At 46.8% G+C, this 23,694-nt stretch overlaps 1 protein-coding gene and 1 long non-coding RNA gene across 54 annotated transcripts in view, besides 4 other annotated features; both read left to right on the top strand.

The window, feature by feature from the left end:
* Nucleotides 1-23,694, top strand: part of KCNMA1 (potassium calcium-activated channel subfamily M alpha 1) — a 768,207-nt gene that overhangs the window by 99,379 nt on the left and 645,134 nt on the right. The window lies entirely within an intron of this gene.
* LOC124902464 (uncharacterized) lies at nucleotides 409-21,433 on the top strand. The gene is made up of 2 exons (XR_007062205.1): nucleotides 409-1,504; nucleotides 1,717-21,433. It is a non-coding gene; the product is annotated as an uncharacterized LOC124902464 (long non-coding RNA).
* Nucleotides 5,911-7,110: an enhancer, noted in NCBI's record as "BRD4-independent group 4 enhancer chr10:79291078-79292277 (GRCh37/hg19 assembly coordinates)". NCBI's record gives its function as "activates an origin of replication core promoter dependent on BRD2, P300/CBP, MED14 and CDK7 cofactors, and independent of BRD4, by STARR-seq in HCT116 cells {active_cell/tissue: HCT116}" and the evidence as "EXISTENCE:reporter gene assay evidence [ECO:0000049][PMID:35650434]".
* Nucleotides 5,911-7,399: a biological region, named in NCBI's record as "BRD4-independent group 4 enhancer GRCh37_chr10:79291078-79292277".
* Nucleotides 6,398-6,897: an enhancer, noted in NCBI's record as "H3K4me1 hESC enhancer chr10:79291291-79291790 (GRCh37/hg19 assembly coordinates)". NCBI's record gives its function as "activates a minimal SCP1, AML or CMV promoter by ChIP-STARR-seq in primed H9 embryonic stem cells {active_cell/tissue: H9 hESC(primed)}" and the evidence as "EXISTENCE:reporter gene assay evidence [ECO:0000049][PMID:30033119]".
* Nucleotides 6,898-7,399: an enhancer, noted in NCBI's record as "H3K4me1 hESC enhancer chr10:79290789-79291290 (GRCh37/hg19 assembly coordinates)". NCBI's record gives its function as "activates a minimal SCP1, AML or CMV promoter by ChIP-STARR-seq in primed H9 embryonic stem cells {active_cell/tissue: H9 hESC(primed)}" and the evidence as "EXISTENCE:reporter gene assay evidence [ECO:0000049][PMID:30033119]".

The raw sequence follows: 23,694 nt of genomic DNA, 5'->3' as shown, positions 1-23,694 counted from the left end.
CGGGTTTGGGGCTGCTTCAGCGACCAAGGATCTTGGGGAGAATCCTGGCCCACGAGACCACAGTGGATTCACCTGGGTGCTGCTGGCCAAGAGTTTGAGTGTGAGTGTGTATGGGTATGTGTAGGGTGTAGGGTATAGCACATGTATGCAGTGTGAGTGTAGAGTATGTGAGTGTGACAGTATATGTGTGTTTGTGAGTGTGTAGAGTATGTGAATATGAGAGTATGTGTGAGTATGAGTGTGTCTAGTGTATGTGTGTGTGTTTAGAGTATGTGTAGAGTGTGTATGTGAATGTAGAGTATGTGGGTGTGTGTGAGTGTGTGTAGAGTATGTGAATGTGAGAGTATGTGGATGTGTGTGAGTGTGTGTGTAGAGTATGTGAATATGAGAGTGTGTGTGAGAGTACGTGTAGAGTATACGAATGTGAGAGTATGTGAGTGTGTGTGTATGTGCGTGTGTATACAGTGCCTCCCCAAAGGCCCCACTCCACCAGCAGCCTGCCCATCCATCATCATAACGGGCGTGGAAGCCCATTCCATTCCTGCTGAGCCCTGCCAAAAAATCAGTGAGGGAGAGCCAGGAAGAATGTGCGCCGGGAGGAGCAGGCAGCGTGTTGCAGTCCGAACGGCCCACTGTGATGATTTGGGTGACGATGGGGCCAGCGGTGCCACCGAGACTCTGATGGCTCCTTAGGAGTTGTTATAGTCACAATAATAGATTGTTCTCTGTTTCTCAATGCTAGGTCCATTCTTTAAAATTTTTTTTTCTTCCTTTAGAGGCAGAGGAGGAGATGGAGAGTTGGTGAGATTAGGATTTTAGGTGTCTTCAAGTCAATTCTGAAACTCTAAGAAGAAATAGAGAATTCTGAGTGATTTTAATTTTTCTGCAGTCATGGGGGGAATTTCCATAGGGAAGATGCTTTCCAAGGAAGCTCATGTGTCTTGGACTCTGAAAGAGCCCTTCTCAGGCCTGGTTCTGGCATTTGTCCATGGTTTGGGGAAGGTGGGCCCTGGGTGGGGGCAAGGATGTGACTTTTGGAGCAAGGTGTGGGCACTGTAGGCTCAATGTGGTTCTGCTGGGGTGGTGTTCTTGTGGCTGAAGAATGTGTCCCCTGAGTTGGCACAGTGATGCATGACATAGGATGGACCAAACGGAAGGCATTTCCTGTCACTGAAATTAAAGGAGCAGGGGGGTGGAGGGGAAGCAATGGAGCAGAAGAGGAGTTTGGTTCTAGGAGCATTCAGAAGTCTTGGGAGTGTTGGGTTAGGTGACACAGTTCCTGTCTGTCCTGGGGCTCTATGTACTCCCCCTGGAGATTTCACTGGAACTGGTGATGTCCCGTGTTTAGGGCTATCTCTGGAAAATAAATATGAACATAAAATAATAAGAGGCTGAACCTACGAAGGAAATGAACTAAAGTCAATACACATTTTTCCCAGACACCATACAAGGTCCTGCAAATCACTGGGAAATGAATGGGACACAAGACATCACACTCCATGCGGTGAGCTTTGTGTTTGGTTTTTCCCAGTCATTGGCTGTGGTGAATCATGTGTTCTCCCTGTGTTCAAATGGCTGTTGAGAGAAAGGTGTGGATGTTGGCAGCTCTGGGGAGGAGACCAGTGATGACACCAATTGAGGGTGCACTATGGTGTTTAGATCATTGGCTTTTAAAATTTAGTCAATGACTTCTGAAGTGGGCCTTTTTGCTTCCAGCTGACAGACATATCAGAGTGCGGGAGACAGAGTACCCAATTCCAACCCCAACATCCTGCCCACAAGCTGTGGGAACCTGAGTAAGTTACTCACCTCTTTGTGCCTCTACTTCCTCATCTCTACCTGGGGGAGGCAGTCAACGTACCTAATGTTATTTTCATAGTAAGGCTGTTGCACAGAATAGATGAGTTCGTAGGTATGAAGCCCTTAGCTTTGTATCTAGCACATTCTAAATGATAAAAATATTGGCATTACTGTCACTAATGAGGATATTGAAGATCAGTGAAGTGAGGGAATTCTCCCAACACTGGGAAGAAAGACCACAGCAGGAAGTAAGCTCTGGGAAAGCCCATGCTGTCTGATTCTAACAAGAAGGATGCTGGCGTCCTCCTGCTCCGAGATGCCAGGAACTGTGGCCTCAAACCTGAGGGACAATTCTAAACTCCATCTCTAGACAAAGAGTAGTTGCCAAACCAAATAATTCCGCAAAATACACATGCCAGTGCATTTTCCTTTCTTTGTCTTAATTTTTATGGATACATAATAGTTTTATGTATTTATGAGGCCCCTGTGATAGTTTGCTGTGAGCACACAATGTGTAATGATCAACTCTGGGCACCTGGGATACCATCACCTCAAACATTTATCATTTCTTTGTATTGGGAGCATCCCACATATTCTCTTCTAGCTATTTTGAAATGTAGAATAAATTCTTGTTAACTACAGTTGCCCTGTTGTGCTACTGAACACTAGATCGTATTCCTTCTATCTACCTGTATGTTTGCACCTATCAACCAATCCCTCTTAATATCCCCTCCCCACTACCCTTCCCAGCTTCTGGTAACTACCATTCTACTCTCTTGCTCCATGAGATAGTTTTTTAGCTTCCACATGAGTAAGGACATGTCATATTTGTCTTTCTGTGCCTGGCTTATTTCACTTAACATAATGTCCTCCTGTTCCATCCATGTTACTGCAAAGGACAGAATTCCATTCTTTTGTATGGCTGAATAACATTTCATTGTGTATATGTACCACATTTTCTTTATCCATTTGTTCATTGATGGACACTCAGGTTGATTCCGTATCTTGGCTATTGTGAAGAGTGCTGCAATAAATACAGGAGTGAAGAGATCTCTTCTGTGTGATTGCTTTTCTTTTGGGTATATACCCAGCAGTGGAATTGCTGGATCATATGGTAATTCTATTTTTAGTTTTTTGAGGAACCTTCATACTGTTTTCCATAGTGGCTGTACCAATTTACATTCCCACCAACAGTGTATGAATGTTCCCTGTTCTCCACTTCCTTGCCAGCATTTGTTATTTTCAGACTTTTTGATAATAGCTGTCTTTTAAAAAACTGAATTATAACTACTTCCATCCGTATTTTTCGGAAGGAGGGGAATAAACTTCTTGGACCAAATCTGATGAGTCCTGAGATATGTGGGGTAGATGAACAGGAGTCAATGGTGGGACCTTTTGACTTTTGAGCCCTGGTTGGAGTATTTTGGGATGTTAGAGCGTCCTTCTGGAATTAAGATGTGCTTAGTAACTGATGTGTGGTTGCTACTGGAGTGTGTGCATGTGTGTAGAATTTAAGAAATTATAATTCATGCGCCACCTTCATATAACATATTCATGTAAAGATTGGCACTTGGTGAATCTCCACGACCCTTATAGCATCCCTGTAGTTTGTAGGTGTGGTTGTAGATATAGGTTGTAGATTATGGGTTATAGGTTGTAGGTATATATGGTATAGATTGCAGTTGTAGGTTGCAGGGTATAAGTTGGAGGTACAGGGTGTAGGTTTTAGTTTGTAGTTATATGCTGTAGGTTATAGCTGTAAATGGTAGGTATGGGTTGTAGGCTGTGGGTTGTAGGTATAGATTGTAGGCTGGAAACAGAAAGAACATTGATCAAACGTTTGTCACTTCTTTGTTTTGGGAACATCTCAAATATTTTCTTTTAGCTATTTTGAAATGTAGAGTAAATTATTATTAACTGTAGTCGTTCTGTTGTGCTACTGAACACTAGATCTTATTCCTTCCATCTACCTGTATTTTTGTGCCTATTGTATAGATAGACCTGGACCTTGAACCCAGAACTTTTGATGCCCAAATCCCTGATCTTCCTGAGTATATTAGGTTCCTTCAGGAAAAATGAGATGCTTTTCAGTGGTAATGTTTATGCTTCGCTATAATAAATACACATAAACGTGGATAGAGAAAGGACCTCGTATCTAGTTTCTTCCTAGGACACCAGTTGGTTATCGTTTGATGCATTTTCTTTAAGCCTGCTTGTACCAATTTTTTAAATTATTTCAACTTCTTTAGCTCTGACTGTACCCTCTGCCAATTTTGTATGCTGCCTTCTGCCTCCCAGTTACTATAACAAACATCTCCTATGTAAACCCTTTTTATGACTACATTCTACTTGGTATGGCTGCACCATAATTTCTCTAGTGTAGGATATTTAGGCTGTTTCTGCTGTTTGGCTATTATAAATAACATAGCAATAATCATCTCTGAGCTAGAAGTTTTCCTAATGATTTTATCTTTAGGTTTCTGGGATGAGCATAGGGCTGGATGTTTGCCAGGCTAGGGAGAAGCTGGGGAGGAGCCTGGTAACGCCCTGAGGGGGAAGCCTGGCCTGGAGTTACCTGGCTGCCTGGCTCAAGTGTGCCCTTGGCAGGGGCTGCTGGCCTAGAGGCCAGCACCAAGCAGCATAGTGGGCCAGCTTTGGCATAGATGGAGCAAGAGAGGGAAGGGTTCTCCCTCTGTAATCAGGAGTAGAACATTCAGGCATGGAGCTAAGACAAATGAGTACCTTTTAGAGCTTTGGCTCTATAGAGACAGTACAGGTGGCCATGAGGTGGTAAGGAACAGTCACACATTTATAGCCTCCCCACAGTTCATCCTTCTGATATTTCTGCCCTGAGTTACCAATGAGCAACAGGCAGTTCTCTCCCACAAAGCCTAAGCAGGGGGAGTTCATCCTCCTTTGTTAGGATTTGATTTTATCAGAGGGATATTTGGAGGTCAGTGGCTGGAAGAATAATGCTGTCAGAGTTTGGTGACTCTTGCCGGGCAGTGATGGAGGTGGGGGAGGGGCAGAGCCTGGCACACAAATCTGGGGAAGAGTGGTGGGATGCGGGAAGAAAGACTGGTCCCTGTACTCAAGGAGATTAGGATCCTTAGGGCTTTTACTTCCAACATTTACTGTTCCTCCTCCCGGGATGCCTGCCTTCCTCTTGTTTGGCTTGTGTTTGCAAATGAAGCAGACAAGTTCTAGAGAAGTTAAATGATTTGTCCTAAGTCATGTAATCATTGACTAGGGAAGGGAAACTAGACCCGGAGCTCCAGCTTCACGGGTGCCCTTTCTCCTGTGTCATGCAGCCGCTTCTGTGTGTTGGCTAGTCTGCCCAGTAGACTCTGCTCCTTGGGGCTCTGGTTGTGTCTGACCTTGTTGAATCCCCTGCATGTGTAGTATGACCTTGTTGGGGTGTCTCAACACTGGGCATGTTAGCAACACTGAGGGATGAAAGCACTGTCATGCCCTGGATGGTCAGCCCTGGTTTGTTGAATGCACGAGTGTTCATATGTCAGAAATACATATGCATTCACTCTACAAATATTTTCAAACATTTATTATGTTCCCAGCATAATAGTAGAGCTTCTACTATTGCAGGGGAGAAAGTCTTCAATAAAAGTTATAGAATAATTAATTACAGATGGTAGAGGAGCTAAGGAAGAGAGTGATTTCAGGTTGCCAAGAGAACATACTCAGAGAGGCATGATAGCTTTTGGGGACCCTGTCAGTATCATCAGGATAGCCCGGACTCAGAAGTTAGTCTCTCATAGAGCCAATAGGAAGGTTTTGGCAAATCTGGATTTTTTCACTTGCATTCTGGTTTTGGTTCTGCTATTGACTATCAGGGTTACTTTGAAAAAACCATTTGCTTCTTTATGTCTTGCTTGCTTTATCTGTAAAATGAAGAGGTTGTAAAATTCTTCTGTAAATCATTTAATTACCACCCTCTTCCCCCATGGAAACAAACCTAGAAAATCCTAACTTTGCTTTAAAAATATTCAGTACATGGAATATTTTAGTGTTCATGTTTTCTCTTTTGAGTGGGGTTTGGCCATTGGCTGGTTCTTGGATAAAATTTGGAGGGAGGTATTCTCCAGGCTTAAATGAGTGAAAAAGTCTGGGAAAAAATAAACCAACCCTACCTCCTTCCCACCCAAGGAGTGTCCTTTGCATCTGGCATCGCTGTGTTTTCATTCGCTGGTCAGTCCCTCATCTGCTGCCAACCTCTTCCCTTCCTGGCTTGGTCAGAAGGTCCAGAGAGCCCACTGTACTGGCGGGGAGAATCTGTCCCTTTTGCGCACATCATTGGGAACTCAAAGTCATCTCGTGTTGGAGTCAAATGACGTGTTAGCACACGCCTGCTTGGGGGATCCTCCTGCAGTTGGCATATTGCGTGACACACGGGGGGATTCTCATCGTGCTGGAATGCATGGCCAGCCCCTTCTTTCTCCAAGCACAGTTCAGTGCATTTTCCCCCCAGTTGCTGCTTCTCGTAGGAGATTATTTCTGATTCGTATTGAGTTGTTACTGGAAAACACTTCAGAGAGATAATGAGCTGGGTAGTTTTCCTCTTCATTTTTCTTTGTTGTTGTTGAATTCATATGGGTAACTGGGCTCTCCACTTACACTTTATTGATTCCTGAATTTAGGGCATAGCTCTGTAATTGGCAATTTCCTCAGTGCCACGTGGGCAGAGAGAAGTACTGTGCCTGGGGCTGCTGACTCTGCAGGAAGCTGTAGGGGCACTTCCTTTTAGCCCTGGACTGACACAGCTGAGTGCCCGTGGGCAAGTCCCTTGTTGCCTCTTTCTTGGCTCTGGTTTTTCCTTGCTGTCTTGTGAGGGGTCAGACCAGATGACTTTGAGCACCAGCCCTTCCAGTTCTTGAATTTTCCAGGCTAGGTTGGAAGCCCTTTTCTTTGGTGGGTTTATGCATGAAGGGCCGGGTGTTTCTGTGTTCACGGATGACACTGCTGATCCCATGTGCTCTTGTCATTGTTTTCCTTGGAGGGCTGAGGGATGTGTGCTGAGTCACGCACATGCACAGCCGGAGTCCCTTGTGACTAAGCTGTGCATTTGCAGGAGCGCTGGCAGGGTCGGTGGTACAGCCTCTGAACTGGGACAGCTTGAACCCAGCGTTGCCTGGAGTGGGAATAAACCTTGACCTTGCTGGCGTGGGTGAGGGGCACCTGCCCAGGGAGCTAACTGGTCTGGACTCATACAGTGCTCTCCTTCTGTCCATTTCAGTATGCTGGCTGTCAGCTTTGTTTATGCATAGATGAATTACTCTCATTTCAGATTATCGTGGAAAATCTTGCTGTCAAGTTCTTAGGACAGGATTAAGTAGAATAGGTGATAAAGGTCATTGGCATTATTTACAATCTCTTGACTTTCATTCACCCCCATCTGCTGTAGACAAGCTGGATGCTTACAAGAGCGGCAAAGACTTGGGACTTAGAATCAGGCACACCCAAGTTTGAAGCCCCGCGTGGTGCTTTCTGGCTGCGTCACCTTGAACGCTTGCTTCCCCAAGTCTCGGTTTTTCTAAAATGGTAGGAAACAGCTTTGTTTGGCCTAAGAGGTTTGCTGGTGGAGACTAAGTGAGCTACTGCTGTGTTTTGCCACACCTCAATGCTGGTGGGATGCAAGATGCTTTGAGGAGGGACACAGACGAATTTCTTATTATAGTTGTGTATTTGAATACACTTGTGGAAAAATAGAACTAGTACATCAGAGCTCGTGATTTCACAGATATTATTGCCCAGGACAATGCTAATTTGAAAAAATCGAGACAATTTCAAGTTGATTTCAAGGATAATATGCACTGAATATTAGTGCAGGCAGGCAGGCGGGGCAGAAATCAGGAAGATGGGAGAGAATGACAGAATTTGGAGTACTACTGAGACCTACACTACAGGTCTCCTATAGAACATGTGGTGGGAGCAGAATAAATGCATCTTTCTCTTTGTGTCTGTCCTGGTACAAGGAATGTTTGGGGCATTGGTATAAGAAGCTCCCAGAGAAAAGGTGATGGTGACTTAGCTTTGTGCACTGCATCACCCTCACAGGCAACGCTGTCTGCTCTAGGCGTGACTTGCACTAAGTGAATGTGGACAAGATGGCCACTTTTTCTAGATCCTTCTGGGGAAGCTGTTAGTTGTAATAGTGTTAGAACCTAAGAGCTAGAAGAGACTTTGGAGATGATTTACTGCATTTTATGTTAGACTTAGACAATTTTTTTACAAAAGGGAAAAATTAAAAAGCCCCAGAGAGACCTGGACTTACTCAAAGCCACACAAGTAGTTGAGCACAGTGGCTGAGATGAATCATTTTGTGTCTTTCCCCAAGGATCTCTCTTTCCTTGTCCCTCTGTCTATCCTGGTCAATAGCATCATTGTTTGAAGTGAGTTTTTGGAACAGGACCCAGCTGCATTCGGTGGGTTAGTCCAGCACCACAAGGATCTGTCCTTTAGCATTGCCTGTGTCTCTGGCCTTCTCGTGTTAGTTAGAAGATTGAGGAGGCAACCATGTAGACACTGCTGGAGGAAGAGGAAACGAATTTAAAAGTCACAAGTTTTGGCCTCAGATGCCTGTGGTGTTGAACATTATTAGCTTTGTTGTCGGGGCATGCGCCTGACCTCCCGGAGTCTCAATTTCCTCCTCTATAAGGTGGCTTTTACCTCTGCAGGTTTGAATGAGGTAAGAGGTGGGGAGAGCCTAGTACTTGGCTCCCTTGAAGAAAGTAGCGGAGACTGAATCCAAGGCCAGGCTGTCCACTCCAAACTGGGATTAGGATGTCATGGTTCTTCAGCCCCTGACTTTCCTGACAAAGGCCCACGTGGGGGCTCTTGGTTGGCCTGGTCACTCTCTGCTTGGGGTGTCCTCATTCTTTTCCCTGGAGAGGTTCTGGGATCAGGGGTGAGAATGGGGTTAAGTTATCTAGGAATTGAGAGTCCCTTCTTCATAACTAATTTTTCTTTCCTATCTCATGACTTCTAGATAATAGTCTGTAGTTTTAACTCATTTGTTATTTATATAATTTCTCTGTGCTCGGCTCTAAGGGTATAAGAGTAAATTAGATCTGGCCCTTGCATGGAAGAAGCTTACAGCTGAGGTGGGGAGCTCTGTCTAGCATGCACAGAACATGGTGCTTTGACAAAGGGTAGGTGCCGGGGAGTGAGGTGGGAGCCCTGAGGAGGAGATCTTAACAAGGGAAAGCCTTCTACAGCAGGCAGGGGCTGAGCTGGGTTTGAAGGGCTGAGAGGAGCTAGGCTGGCTGAGGTGGGAGGGTGCTGGGGTGGCAGGGGCTGCACTCCTGGCAGAGGGAATAGCACAGGAAAGGCCCAGAGGTGAGCTGGGAAACCACAGGCAGAGTGGTGCAGGGGGAAAAAGAGGGGAGGGCAGGAACACAGTGGGGGAACTTAGTGCATAACAACAATGCCCTCAACCCTTTTGCCTGGCTCTTCACCACGTGAGAGGACTCAGGGGAGAAGAGTCTGAGTGCTGTGCCCTTTCTGAATTCTTTTTTTTTATTATTATGGTAAAATATACACACTATAAAATTGACCATTGTGAGATTTTAAGTATACAACCAGAATTCTGTTCAACCATCTGTGCTACTTACTTCCAGAACCGTCCAGCACTGCAGATGGAAACCCTGGACCAATGGGGAGTCACTGCCGTTCTCTCCTCCATCCAGCCTGAGAACCTGTGATCTGCTTGCTGCTTCTTGAGGCCTATTTGGATATTTCCTATGAGTAGAATGATAGGATATGTGGCCTTTTGTGTCCGGCTTCTTCCACTTAGCATAATGTTCTTGAGGTTCACCTGTGTTGTGGCATGCAGCAGTACTCCGTTCCTTTAGTTCTGTGCATGGCCACACCACATTTTTCTTATTCATACATCAGTTGATGGACATCTGTGTTGTTTCCGCCTTTGGCTATTGTGAATAGTGCTGCTATGAACACTTGTGTACGAGCTTTTGTTGGTATCTTTTCTTTTCTTTTTTTTTTTTTTTGAGATGGGCTCTCACTCTGTCACCCAGGCTGGAGTGCAGTGACACAATCTCAGCTCACTGCAACCTCTGCCTCCTGGTTCAAGCGATTCTCCTGCCTCAGCCTCCCGAGTTGCTGGGATTACAGGTATCCGCCATCACACCCGGCTAATTTTTTGTATTTTTAGTAGAGACAGGGTTTCACCATGTTGGCCAGGCTGGTCTCAAACTCCTGACCTCAGGTGATCTGCCTGCCTCGGCCTCCCAAAGTACTGGGATTACAGGCATGAACCACTGTGCCAGGCCTGTGTTTGATTTGGGGTATATGCCTAGGAATGGGATTGCTAGATCCTATGGTAATGCTGTGTTTAACTTATTGAGGAAATTGCTGGATTCTTGAGGATGTGTTTCAGGTCCACCCTCTGTTGTTGCCTTGACCTTGTTACTTGCTCTGTTGGGTGCAAGCTCTGAGGCATGGGCTAGACACCTTGTGCCAGGTCCTGTTTTCCATCCTCACAAGCAACCCCAGGTGGTGGGCACTCTTCTTGGTCCTGGTTTTCAGATGAGGAGATGCAGGCACAGAGTGGTTAAGCATCATACCCAAGGTCACACAGCTTGTGAGTAGAGGGTCTGGGAATTGAACCCAGACAGGCTGTCCAGAGTGCAGTCTCTCCCCAACACACCCCATGGTGCCTCAGAGACAGGAGTCCCATAGACAACATCCTGGATGGAGCCTGTAGCCTCCTGATGGTGGTTGGAGGCTGTGCGCACAGCATGGAGCCCGAGCCAGCCCCTGGGGATGAGGGCTGCACCAGGGCCCACTCAGCCACCCTCCACCCTGTGTTCTTTCCTTGCCTTGCCTCCCCTCTGCACTCCTTCCTTGTGCCTCCTCCTCACTCCCCACCAGCCTCACCTCTCTCTCGCTCTCTCTCTTTCTTTCTCTTTTAATAAATGGAAATGGTTTATGGGCTCTTCTAGAAATTGCACCTGCCTTCTGGTTATAACTGGGGAGAGAGAGAGGAAGAGACACAGAGAAGAGACAGAGAGGCCTCCTTCAGCAGATCTGGGTATGCCCATGGGACCTCCTGGCCTGGACATCCTGGTGGTGCTTTCAGGCCTGCCACAGAAGTGACCCTGAGTTGGCTCTGGCTCTAATGTCTGAGAGTGCCTTCTTCCCCTCTCCCCCTGTGACTGCCTGCAGGACAGCGCAATTCCTCTGCCATTGTGTAAGCAGCCCCCACAGATGATACTCCATGCTAGGGAATTAACTACTTGTTGAAAAGCACTTGTGTGTTCCCCTGGCTGAGGCTGAAAGTGGGGGATCCCTGGGGAAGGGGGTGGCCTGGCTATGGATGGGGAGAAGGCCCTCTGGGGAAATGAAGAGGGGAGCCCCAAGCCAGTTCGTCCTGTGGGAGCTGGCCCAGATTATGGTTCATAATGTAAATTTGGGAGTATGCCAGGGCCATATTAATACTGCATGAGGCAGTAAGGGGACCTTGGGCTTGAAACCCGAGCTGTGGCCTAGAATGGAACTGAACAGTGGGCCTTGTCTTAAAGGGACATGACGAGCTCCCAGAAGTATGTGTCGGCATTATTTCCCTCTAATGCTGTTTACTATATTTGTACACAATGCCCCCAAAGGATTTGAAAAGGAAATGGCAATGTAATAAGAGAGGTATTTTTTGTTGCACATGCGAGCATGCTCATTGACTTAATTATTGTTTCTTTTGTTACCTTGGTGAATTAGAGAGGGGGAGATATGGAGAGGGAGGATGGGAAGTTGGAGAGGGGGAAGAGAGAGAGAGAGAGAGGAGAAGGAAACCCATGTCTACTGTTATTTTGCTGAAATCTATCTCAGCGAGTAGGCAGATTGAGAAATCAAGGATTCATTCACAGGTAGAAAAAAATGAATAACACTTTGAAAGCTCAGAAAATCAACACAACAGAGAATTCAGTTTCAAGGTGCCACTTTTGACTCTTCTGCTGCTCTTTGAATTGAGTTCATGGCTGTGCTCATCGTCTCCATGGAGAAGGGCAAGTCAGTGCCATTTCTTGTAGGAATGATCGGGCCACTAACATTTGTCTAGAAACCAAGCAACCGAAAAGTGCAAATATCTGGATGCTATTGGCTTTTGAGAAAGAAAGGATGTCAGGCATTTATTTGAAAGGGTAACCTCCATCCAGATAGTGTTGTAGAGCATTTTCTCAGACATTAGAAAGATTCAACTGTGTACAGTAGTTTTAGTGTTGAGTGTTTCAGAATATTTTCATTCTTTCCAAATTGGGGGTCCACTACATTAGTTAGATGCTTTTGATTACTAATGATCAAGAACACTGACTCAAATTGGCTTAGACAGTAAGGAAATGTATCTCCCATAAGAGAACAGAGTTGGGGGAGGAAAGGCTCCACTATGGATGGATCAGTGGTTCAGTGATGTGGATGAGGCCCTGGGCCCTTTCTTTTCTTCACCCTACTGTCCTTAGTGACAGCTTTATACCAAGTCTGATTTCTCTCATGGCCGCAAGATAGCTGCAGTGGTTCTGGACATCACATCTGGACATGGCAATGTCCAGAGTCAAGGCAGGGACCATCTCTTCTGGTGAGGACTTTATATATAGAGAAAATCTTTCTCCAAAGCCCCCGATACTTCTCCCATTTTTCTCATTGACCAAAACCAGGCCACTTGCCTGGCTCCAAATCAGTCAGTGTCAATAGAATGGGAATGCCCTGATGTAAACTAGACAGGACCCACCAGCTGGTGAGGGAATGGGGTCAGTTTATCTGAGGTGCAAGACACTGTGGAGAAGGAGTGGGAACCTGGACAAGATGGGGCCATGTTAGTAACGAGGAGGAGGGTGACATCTTTTGCCTCCATGAATAGCAAAGGGCAGTTCTCACTTAACTGGGGTGCACATGGCATCACAGAATGCTAGAACTTGGAAGGGAAATTAGAGACAATCTTCTTCAATCCTTTCATTTTACACATGAAGAAACTGAGCTCCAGGAATGAGGAGGAGTTGCCCAAACTCATGGATCCACCCTGGGCCCCAGGCACCAGCTGTGTGGGGCCAGTGGGCCGTTGAAGCACTCTAGTCAATGCCACACAGCCTGGGAGCAGTACCAGAACCCAGGGTGGGAAAATGTTGGCAGGGCTTCCAGAAACTACTTGTAGGGCCTGTCATTTTCATTCAATAAATGTATTGATCAACCATTGAGTCTCCAACCCTGCACTTTCTGGGTGGTTATGAGAAAGAGTAAAGTTAAAGAAGCCTCAAGGCATCTGGAAGAGAACGGGTTCCAACCTGTAAGGACATATTCCAGGCTGGATGTGCTTTCTCTTCTGGAGATAATTCTCATTTTGGTCTCTTTTTTCATATTCTTACTGCCTGATTCCAAGGACTTACAACAGTGTCTAGAACACAACTGGTATCCATAAATCCATATGGAATTATATTAATTAGAACTGCATGAGGTCCAGAAAGTATTGTTTTCATCTTATTTTAATGTGTATACATTGGCTACAAAATTAAGTCATGGTAGATATCGTCCAGATAAAATTGTCCAAAGAAAAATCGAACACGGTACCTTACTGAAAGTGAGCTCATTTGAGGACTGTGATCTTGATGGTTGGGTATTGACTGGGTTAGGGGGTCAGGCAGTGACAGCGGCTTAGCCTGCTGGTGCTGAGGGAGGCCGGGGATCATATCCGTGCAGGTGATCCATGACAGCCCTCGACCCCAGTGTTTAGAGGAAGTGGATGGGCTCATATTATTTCCTCCTCTTCCCTCCCGCATAACCCTCTGAGTAGTCTTTAGAGCCTTCTCTTACCAGCTAGGTGGCTCTCATTGTGCATGATGTCAATTGCAGAAAATGTGAGTGGGGAGGTAGCTGATAGATAATGAGACCCAGGTCCCTCAGTCCCGAGCTGCCACCCTAAATAAAGCAATAAAGCAACCCACAAGCTGCATCAGTGTGCCTGGTATTTTCATTTCTCCTCTAGAAACAGGTTTCTAGGGCTGTCGAGAATTTGGAACTCATACCACACATACCACCATGCTGAGGTTTCTAAATTCAGGCTGCGGTTTCTGCATGTTTTTGAGAGTGTCAGAAACTTCAAAACATTTGAAGAGTCCCAGAGGAGAAGGGAATATTCTTCTTCTTATTATTCTGAGAGAGCATAGTTTGCACATTCTTGGCTTCTTCAGCATTTGGATGCTGGAGCTCTGTTGGTCTGAGGCTGAAGAGCAAACTCTGCCAAAGCTTCTCTTACCGTGGGGATGGAAAGTTTTCTGTGTCTGTTTTATTACTTAGGCATTCCACGTTCTCCTTCGACATCTCACATACTCCTGCTGCTTTCCTTTGTGAGTGGAGACCTCGCTTTCTTTATAGGTGGTAACAGCTGTGTTCTCTAGAGAGTGAATTTTTGCACCACAACCCCTATTCTCACAATAACTTCACTTGGACATCGAGGATAAGTTTCCATGTGAGAAATATTGTTTAGTCATTTATTTTAAAAAAGCTTTTAAATTATTTAAAACAATTTGTGGGTTACATAGTAGGTGTGTAGATTTATGGAGCCCATGAGATGTTTTGATACAGGCATGCAATGTGAAATAAGCACATCATGGAGAGTGAATATTCATCTCCTCAAGCATTTATCCTTTGAGTTACAAACAATCCAGTTACATTCTTTAAGTTATTTTAAAATATACAATTAAGTTATTATTGACTATAGTCACCCTATTATGTTATCAGATAGTAGGTGTTATTCATTCTTTCTATTTTTTTGTATCCATTAACCATCCTGCCTCCCCTCCAATCCGCCACTCCCCTTCCCAGCCTCTGGTAACTCTCTTTCTACTCTAATTTGATTTTTTAGATCCCACAAATATTTTTACTTTTCAAGTTGAACTATATAATATGATACTAAAACTTGAACACACCACAAAGTATATGCATATTCAAAACTGAACACACCCATGGAACTAACATCCAAATCAAGAAACATAGCTGCTTTACACTTTCTTGAAATAAGCACTTACCTGGAGATGCAAAGGCACTTGCGTGCTCTTTCAGTAGCATTTCTCTTCTCCAGCATCTTCCCTTGACATCAGCCTTGCCTGCACATTGCCCAGTTGGGCAAATTTCTCTCCCAGGTAGAGGTTACCAGGCTTGCATTCCCTATGTTTTAGCTTCTGTCTTGGTCTTTCTGTGTGTTTTTATACCTCCATTTGAAGCAAACCCAACACATGAAAAGCTATATTTACCAATGGGACCAACTATTGGGGCAGTGTCTACTTACTATACATATTTTTAAAAAACTGTTTCTTTAAATTGGAGAGCTCCAAGGTGACTGATGTTAATAATTTATAACTATTTATTAAGCACCTACTATGCGGTTCTGTGGTGTGATTGCAAGGGGGGGGGGCACGTCCAAGGTTGAGTAAGACATAGCTTCTGTTCTTAAGGATGTCCCAGTCTAGAAGTGGAGATAAGCTATGCATGAGCTTGACCAAGATCTTGCTACAATGAAAGATAGCTGGGAAGAGCATGAGAGAGTTCAGGGGAGGAAAAGACCACTCCCACCTGTGGCATGGAGGGTCATTCAGGAGGACTACATAGAGGAGGGGGCACTTTACATTGGCACTTAGAGGAATCTGCCCCTTGATGGGACCCAAACTTACATTTATGATGTGAAAAATGGAAAGGAGACTTGTTATGCTTTAACAGTAGGTGTTGCTATTTAATGTATGAAGCTTACTCAAATGGAAGAGTTTGGGTTTATTAAAGGAAATTAGAGGTCTCTGTGTTAGCAGTTCTGTATGTTCAAAATGTGATACAATGGGTTTACTTAAACCATTGGTTGCCCCAAGACCCCTTTCTTGAGGAATTGGCAGCTTGGCAGAGTTTGCACCTTTGAAGGCTGCCCTGCAAGGATAAAGACCTCCATCCAAGGGGAAAGGCCAGAAGCAGGCTCAGAGCTAGGTCCCACAACTCTGCTTCCCTGTATCCGGCCCCCCTGCCAGCTCACTCAAGCAAGCCCTGTTTCTGGGCAGCAGCAGCTGTGAGGTGTGGGTGAGGGGCTGTTGCTAGGAGCAGGGATCCAGCTTGCCTTTTCTGACACGTGTGTTTAAATTAGCATCTTTAAATGCTGTTCCCGACAGTTATTCAATTTTGAAACTACTGGGGATTTTGGGGCAGGTGGAGAGTGTTAAGGAGGAGGCGAGGCAAATGAAAAGGCAAAACATTTGGGGGAGTTTTTGAAAAAGTTAAATAAGGAAAAGAGTGTCAGCTGGGGGAAAGCACATCTCAGGCCCCATTGCAGGACCCCTTCCCCAGTGGAGTCATAGAGTCCCCTACTCTGCCCCAAGGTGTTGGAGATGGCTCATGGCTCATGGGAATGTGCAGGAAGTCCCCTGAGTCTTATTTATTTATTTATTTATTTATTTATTTTGAGATGGAGTCTTGCTCTGTCACCCAGGCTGGAGTAGTGCAGTGACATGATCTTGGCTCACTGCAACCTCCGCCTCCTGGGTTCAAGTGATTCTCCTGCCTCAGCCTCCTGAGCAGCTGGGATTACAGGGACCTGCCACCACGCCTGGCTAATTTTTGTATTTTTAGTAGAGATAGGTTTTGCCATGTTGGCCAGGCTGGTCTGAAACTCCTGACCTCAGGTGATCTACCTGCCTCGACCTCCCAAAGTGCTGGGATTACAGGCATGAGCCACCGTGCCTGGTCCCTGAGTCCTCTTAGGGTCTCCAGAAATCACTATATCAAGTGAGGTTTGGGGATGGGCACATCTAAGTGATAACCACCCACTAGGCAAAAGGATCCTGGTGTTGGGAGATGGGGTGAGAAACTGGGGTGGGTGTCATTCATTCAACCGAGTCATCACTCTCAAGGGACCAGATGGAGAAAGGGAATATAATAAGAAAAATGATGATGCTTAAAATAAATATTGATAATGCCCACATTTTCAGGGAACTTCTATGTGCCTTAGATATTTATTTATCCAAGAGCCTCACTTCTTTTTACTTGTCCGATCCTTACAGCAGATCTCCAAAGAGGTTCTCTGTTATCCATGGTTTACAGATGAGGAAACTGAGGCACAGAGAGGCAGTTAAATCACTTGCCCCAAACCACTGAAGCCATAATTGGCGGATCTGGGATTGAAGCCCAAGCTTCCGGGCACTAGTGTGTGGGCCTCTAATCTTGCACTTTGCTGCCACCAGAAATTAGGCACCAGGATGGTAACTGAGGAAACCAGACAAGAGTGAGAATGTAGGGGTGGAGGATGGAAGATGGGTATCAGGGAGGTTTTCTGAGTTGAAGACAGTCTGTCCTGTGGCTTCTTAAAGGTTGCTTTCAGATGAGGGTGACACAAAGGTGTCCCCCTGTCCTGGACATGATTTAGAACCCTATCCACAGAGAACATGCCAAATTTTATGCACCTCAGGGCCTTTGCACATGCTGTTTTCTTTGGCTGGAATCACTGTTCTCCCTGCTTTGTGTGTTATGGTTCTTTCTCATCTGTCACACTTAGTTTAAAGCTGCCTCCTGCAGAGGCTGACACGTCGTAGCAGTTGCTCCATGAAAGTGTTGAGTAAATGGATGAAGAATAAAGCTCTTGGCCTTTCAGGGAATAACTATAATGAGAAATTTGGAAGATCTTTCTGCAGCTGAGCCTTTGGAATTTTGATGTCTTCCAAAAGCTGGGGTTGTTAGGAGAAGAGGTACCAAAGTGGGGCTTCATCTGTAAAGACCCAGCTGGAGCTCTTGTTCACGCCTTTCCCTGAGGCTGGAAGGTCTCTTGGATGTCACAGGCTGCCTCTTTAAAATGGAGACAGTGGTGGACTTTCCTCTCTGTTGAGGATGGGAATGAGGATGAGGGAGCAGGCTTGGGGTGAGCCTACCATCCAGGGGCAGTGAACTTTATATGGCGTGGGATGACCAGTGGCCTCCCCTGGGGTGGCTGCTGGATATTGGCTGATGGATGGTAGAGGAAACACTATTCTCATCTCAATTCCTGGATTGGTGTGGGGGCCAAATGAGATCCCATCATTCCTAATTAAGATGTAGTTACATTAATGATAAAGACAACAATGGCAGCTAATACTTAGAGAGTGCTGCTACCTGCTGGTCACTGTGCCAAGCCCTTTAGTGTGCCTTATCCTTGAGTCCTCACCAGCCCCTATGTGCAGGAACCTGCTGAGATGAAGTGACTTGCCCGGGCCACACACCTGGTAAAGTTGGAAACCAACTGGAGCCAGCCCCAGACCTCACATTGCATACCCCAGACCTCACACTGGATACCCTCACACTGCACACCCTCACACTGCATACCCTCACACCACATATCCCAGACCTCACACTGCACACCCCAGACCTCACACTGCATACCCTCACACTGCATACCCCAGACCTCACACTGCACACCCTCACACTGCATACCCCAGCCCTCACACTGCATATGCCAGACCTCACACTGCACACCCTCACACTGCATACCCCGGACCTCACACTGCACACCCTCACACTGCATACTCCAGACCTCACACTGCACACCCTCACACTGCACACCCTCACACTGCACACCCTCACACTGCATACCCCAGCCCTCACACTGCATATGCCAGACCTCACACTGCACACCCTCACACTGCATACCCCAGACCTCACACTGCATACCCTCACGCTGCATACTGCACACCTCACACTGCATACCCTCACACTGCACTGCATACTGCAGACCTCATGTATACCCTCACACTGCATACTCTCACACTGCATACCCTCAAACAAGGCCCTTTTCTGACTGTCACTTGCACCAAACAGAATGCAGAAGTTTTCTAACTTGAACCTTTGAAAATTTTTTCTGTTCTGTGTTTCACGAAGGGATGTGTTAATTGTTGAGGTAATTGCAGAGTTCCCTGGCTTTATAATCACTCATGTTATTTATTGTTCTTGTTATTATTAGTAAAAGCCATAGTAATTCAGCCTTTGGGTTGGAATGGCAGCAGGAGCCAGCTGAGTGACCTTGGCCGTGATATTAATACTCTTTACAGTCTTCCCTCGATTATCCAGGCTAATGGAAAGAGAACCAGTGCCCGCAAATAATCATAAAACAAAAAAAAAATCAATTATCTTCTCAGTGGAGTGTTGACTGACACGTGGGTCCTACGCCTTTTATGAGGCTGGCCTTCAAACACAGCTGCATCTTTGGTGATATTTCAGAAAGCGTGAGGTGGGAAATAATCCCTGTTTTGCAAGTCAAGGATGGAGAAGGAGCCTTTCATCTCTGGATAGAGATGGTGTGTGGATATCACCAGCTGCCAATGGAGGGGTCAGTGCTGTTATTCTCTTTCCTAAAGCAACTCGGGGGTGATGGAGAAGGTTGCCTTAATCCCCTCTGAGCATTTCACTGGCTGATGTGGACTCATGGAAAATGTCAGCGTGCTGGCCCAGGCCAGGCGGGCTGAAGCCAGTGTGTCTTACAGCTCTGTGGAGCAGACGTGGTGTGTGGCTTGAATGGAAAGGTCATAAAGGCCTGGGACAAGTGAGTGGACGGAGCCAATGGCACTGTCTGGTAACACTATATGGAAGATGAAATTGTAGTGTGGAGCTGAGAGGTGCAGGGCTGGGGAAAGAGACCTCAGCATTTTCCATGATTAACTTTCTAATAGTAACCATGCGTGGACAGTGGGTGCTGGGCAGCAGGGAGACAGTCTTCTCCAAGCGTGCATTCATACAGTGCAGGCGGCTTCCCACTATCTTTGGGTTTTCTCCATTTTGTCTGAGGCAGGGATCAGAACATAGACCTATTGTCTTTGATGGCAAAGTGAGGAGGCAGCCAACTTCATGTCCTCCTAATTGACTCATTTCCTCCCCGCTGGAGTCCCCAAAGCATAGGTGACCAAGAGCTCCCTCTCAGCTCTAAGTCATGAAGAAACGGATGCTTAGAGAGGTTACCCAGAAGCTGGGGACAGAGCTGGCACCACACCCAGGCCTCCTCCCTTCCAGTCCTGTGCTTGGGCAGGCAGCCTGTGGGCTTCTTCCTTCGGCCCTGTCCCCTTCCCTCAGTACTAACACGTGCTCCTAGATTTCTGAGCAGCCCCTAGAGAGAAGTGACGGATTCATACTAGAGTGTTCATGACTTCATGTATCACTTGCCTGAGAGTATTTTTAAATGGATGCTGGGGGAGGGCATTGCTTAACCCAAAGGAACAAGAAGTGGACTATGAAATTTCAGTCCCAGGGCCTGCCATGTGTTGGCCTGTTCTGGGTGCTGAAGATATAGTGGTCAGCAAGACACACATCCTCTCTCCTTTGAGACCTCATATTTCACTGGGGGAGGCAGAAACATAGTAAATAAATAATAAACTAACTTCAGATAATGAGAACTGGTTTTAGAATATGAAACAGGCTAAGGGGATAGTGATGTGAGTGCAATGGGGAACCTGTTTTATGTAGTTGGCCAGGGAGGGTCTTTCTAAGGAAGTGGCCAATGAGTGGAACAAGATCAACTTGCCTGGAAAAGGAAACTATGGGGGATCTTTGAGGGAACAGTACTTCAGGTGTGTGGAACAGCAGCTGTGAAGCCTCTGGGGAGGGAACGAGGCTGGCTGCTGGAGAGTTTCCTTGGCTACCCTGATTAACGGCCCCTCTTCCTGCCTCCCTTCCCTATTTTATTATTTTCTCTGGGGCATTTGTCACCATCTTATATTTGTCTTAACACACCTTATATTTCTCTTATCAGTTTGGCTTATCGCCTGTTTCCTCAACTACAATGTCTGTTGCATGGAGGCAGTACTTTACCTGTGTTTTTCAGTTCTACACCCTAGGAATGTGCCTGGGAAATAGTGGTGCTTGATACCTCCTTGTTGAATGGGGAAATGAACAAATGCATGGACTCAGCAAGCAAGGCAGACGGTGGGAGGAGATGTGACCAGGAAGATGGGCAGGAGTCGGAGGGGGAGAGGCTGAGAACACGGGCCCTTCAGTGTCTGTGTCCTTGTCTCACTGCTGCTGGGAGGGGCTGGCAGAAACTGGCCTTCTTGCCCCATGAGCCCCAACTCAGCAGAACCACCCAGCAGGTCTTAGCATCCCCAGCCTGGCTGCTCCCAGTGGATGCAATGCTCATTAACCATGGAGCTGGTAATAACACGCCCATGTCCTGCACTGCACTGGTGCCTCAAATCTATGTGTTCAGCCTTGGTGTAAAATCACTAGGAGCCAGGGACAGAGGGATTCCAGGGACCCCACGCCCAGGGGGCCTGAGAGGCTCATCCTTCGTGTCAGCTTGTGTTTTCCAGGGGTGGTTTTGCCTGCCCGGTTACTGCTGTGGAATTGCCTCTGGCCCATTTATGGTGGAGGCCTGGGTTCCGGTGACACTGCTTTCTTTCTGTACACCTTGAATGAGGTCAGGCAGCTCTTCATAGAGGGAGGAACTCTTCCTGGAGTGCCAAGGGTAGGGTCTGCCTAGTCCCAGTCTCTCCAGCCTGAGTTTGCATCAGGGAGAAAAAGCACCAGCACCTTTTTCACCAATGCGCCCTTCCCCACATTCACACACGCATGTTCACATGCATGCACATGTATGCAGGCCGGCTTCCCCTCACCTTTTGTTTTTTTTTTTTTTGTAAAAAACACACATCCCTATGTCCACAAACACCCTCACCCTCACTTCCTCCCTCATCCACAGACACCTGTTCCCCAGTGATGCACATTTGCTCACACACCTGCAGCTGCTCACACATGCCTGCATGAGAGGCCCTCTCCACCCTTCAGTCTCCCGTACACCGGCAGGTGCCCACCCCACACCAGCCGCTCACACAGGCACCCCCGTTTTAGCCTCTTACACTTGCACAGGGGGCCCTTCACCTGCTTTGCAGCACCGGAGCCGGAGCCCAGACACATGATGAGGCATGAGAAGTGGAAAGTTCTGCAGGTGCTCTGCCCACCGTGCAAAGGAGGAGGCAGAGGTCCAGCTGCCTCTCAGCATATAGAGGCTCAGAGGCCTTTGCAGCATGCAGAGCTTTTGGAACGTATCTTACTTTCTCATTCTTAAATTCATTCGGGTAACCACTGTTTACTGTGCACCTACCATGGGTCAGGCGCTGTCCTCTGCACCGGGCATACTGCAGAAAACGAAGCAGATGCAGGCCCTGCCCTCATTGGGTTAGGTCTAGTAGTGGAGACAGACCACAGACAGGACAAATAGGGAAACAGGAGAAGCCAGGTGGCCATAAGTGCACAAGCACAAATGAAACAGGGAATGGGAAAAAATAGTGCTATGGAGGGTGCATGGAGAGAAAGCTCTTTGTTAAGGGGAGTTTGGAGCAGATTTCAGGAAAGGGCCATGTTGCAGGCAGAAGGAAGAGCAAGTGTGGCCAAGACCCAGGAAGGATGGGAGGAGGGTGGCTGTGGCGGGGCGGAGTAGGGGGGTGGGCTGTGGGTACTCTACATGATGGGGATTTCTTAAACATCTGTCAGACCCAAGAGACTGTGATCCTCTGAAGCCCCTGGATATGTCAAATTCATCTCAGTGGCCTTATGCACCCTTCGCATGCACCTGGTATAGGCCAGTGCTCAGAAAACATTTGCTCCTGGAGAAGTTGCTGGTTCAGTTCTGTGTGGAGCTGCTCTGTGTTCCAAGATCTGCGCTGGCTGCAGGGATAACAGGGATGGAAGAGAACCAGCCCTTCTCTTGAGGAGCTCCCTGCTAGTGAGGGTCAATCAAGTGCCTGGAAGTTGTGTGTGGGCATGCAGAGTGCATGATATGCCAGGTGCCGGGAAGCCTCCCAGCCCAGGGGCTGGAGGGAGGGGCACTGCTTAGTGGGCAGCTCTTTGGAGGAGCTGATGCTTGAACAGAGTCTTCAGGAAGGAGAGGAGTTAGCCCTGGGTGGGGAGGCAGAGAAGGAAAGAGACACTGAAAGCCGAGGGGTGAACCACAAATATTTGGGAAATGGCACCAGCAAGGTGTACAGCAGGGGTTTCCAAAGAGTTCCTGATTCCCTCCTCAAAGTGATGGGAGCCACACTTCCTGGCTTATCAGTTGGTCCTTGCCCTCTGGCTGGTGCTGTGTGTCTGAGAGGCAGCCTAGGAAGACCTCTCTGGGGAGAAGCAGAGAAAGATAGCGACCTCTGAACGTGCTCCCCAGAATTCAGTCACCCCATCCTACCTATGAGAGGGGACAAACTGGCAGTCTACAGGTGTGTTTGGTTTAGCCCATGTGGCTTCATTGTTTTTTAATTTTTTTTTTCATCAATTGCCTATATTTACAAAGGAGATTTTGGATAAAAATCTGGATTGCTAGCTGTTTTTGAAAAAATAAAAGATTGAAAATGTACCTTTGTGTGCCTGTGTCCCCTCATGGTGATGATTGGTTTGGGCAGAGCCATTGCACGCTCTCCTTTCCCCCCCATCCCCCGGTGCTGAATGCAGCACCCCTCACTCACCGTAACAGGCTGGCTCCTGTAGACACATGACCTTGGATCCTTTTTTGGATTAAGGAAGCAAACATGTAGGATTGTGCTTCTGCAAATTCTCAGAGATGGCTTTTGAGCCCTTAAGCTCTTCTGGGGCATTCTCATTTCTCAACTAGAGCTAGCGGGTGAGAGCCCTCTCTCTGTTTTCATCTGCTGCAGGACAGCTGGACTTCACTGTATCTCATAAAGAAAAGGAGGTGGGGTGGGCAGGGCCCTAGGCTGTATTACTGGAAAAAAAACAAAAAAAAACAAAACAGGCAGTAGCTCCTGGTTTCTGTAAAAATGGTGTCTAGACGTGAGTGAAGAGGCAGAAGGTCAGAGGGGATTTGGAAATCTCAAAGGCTGAGCACAGAGCGCCCACAGGTGCAAGGAGAAAGTACAGGGCCAGGGCCAGAGATTTCCTTTCTCTTGT

The sequence above is a fragment of the Homo sapiens genome, chromosome 10 (genome assembly GCF_000001405.40).
Source record: "Homo sapiens chromosome 10, GRCh38.p14 Primary Assembly".
In the NCBI taxonomy this organism is placed as follows: Eukaryota; Metazoa; Chordata; class Mammalia; order Primates; family Hominidae; genus Homo; species Homo sapiens.
This window is presented reverse-complemented; position numbering and strand designations above follow the sequence as displayed.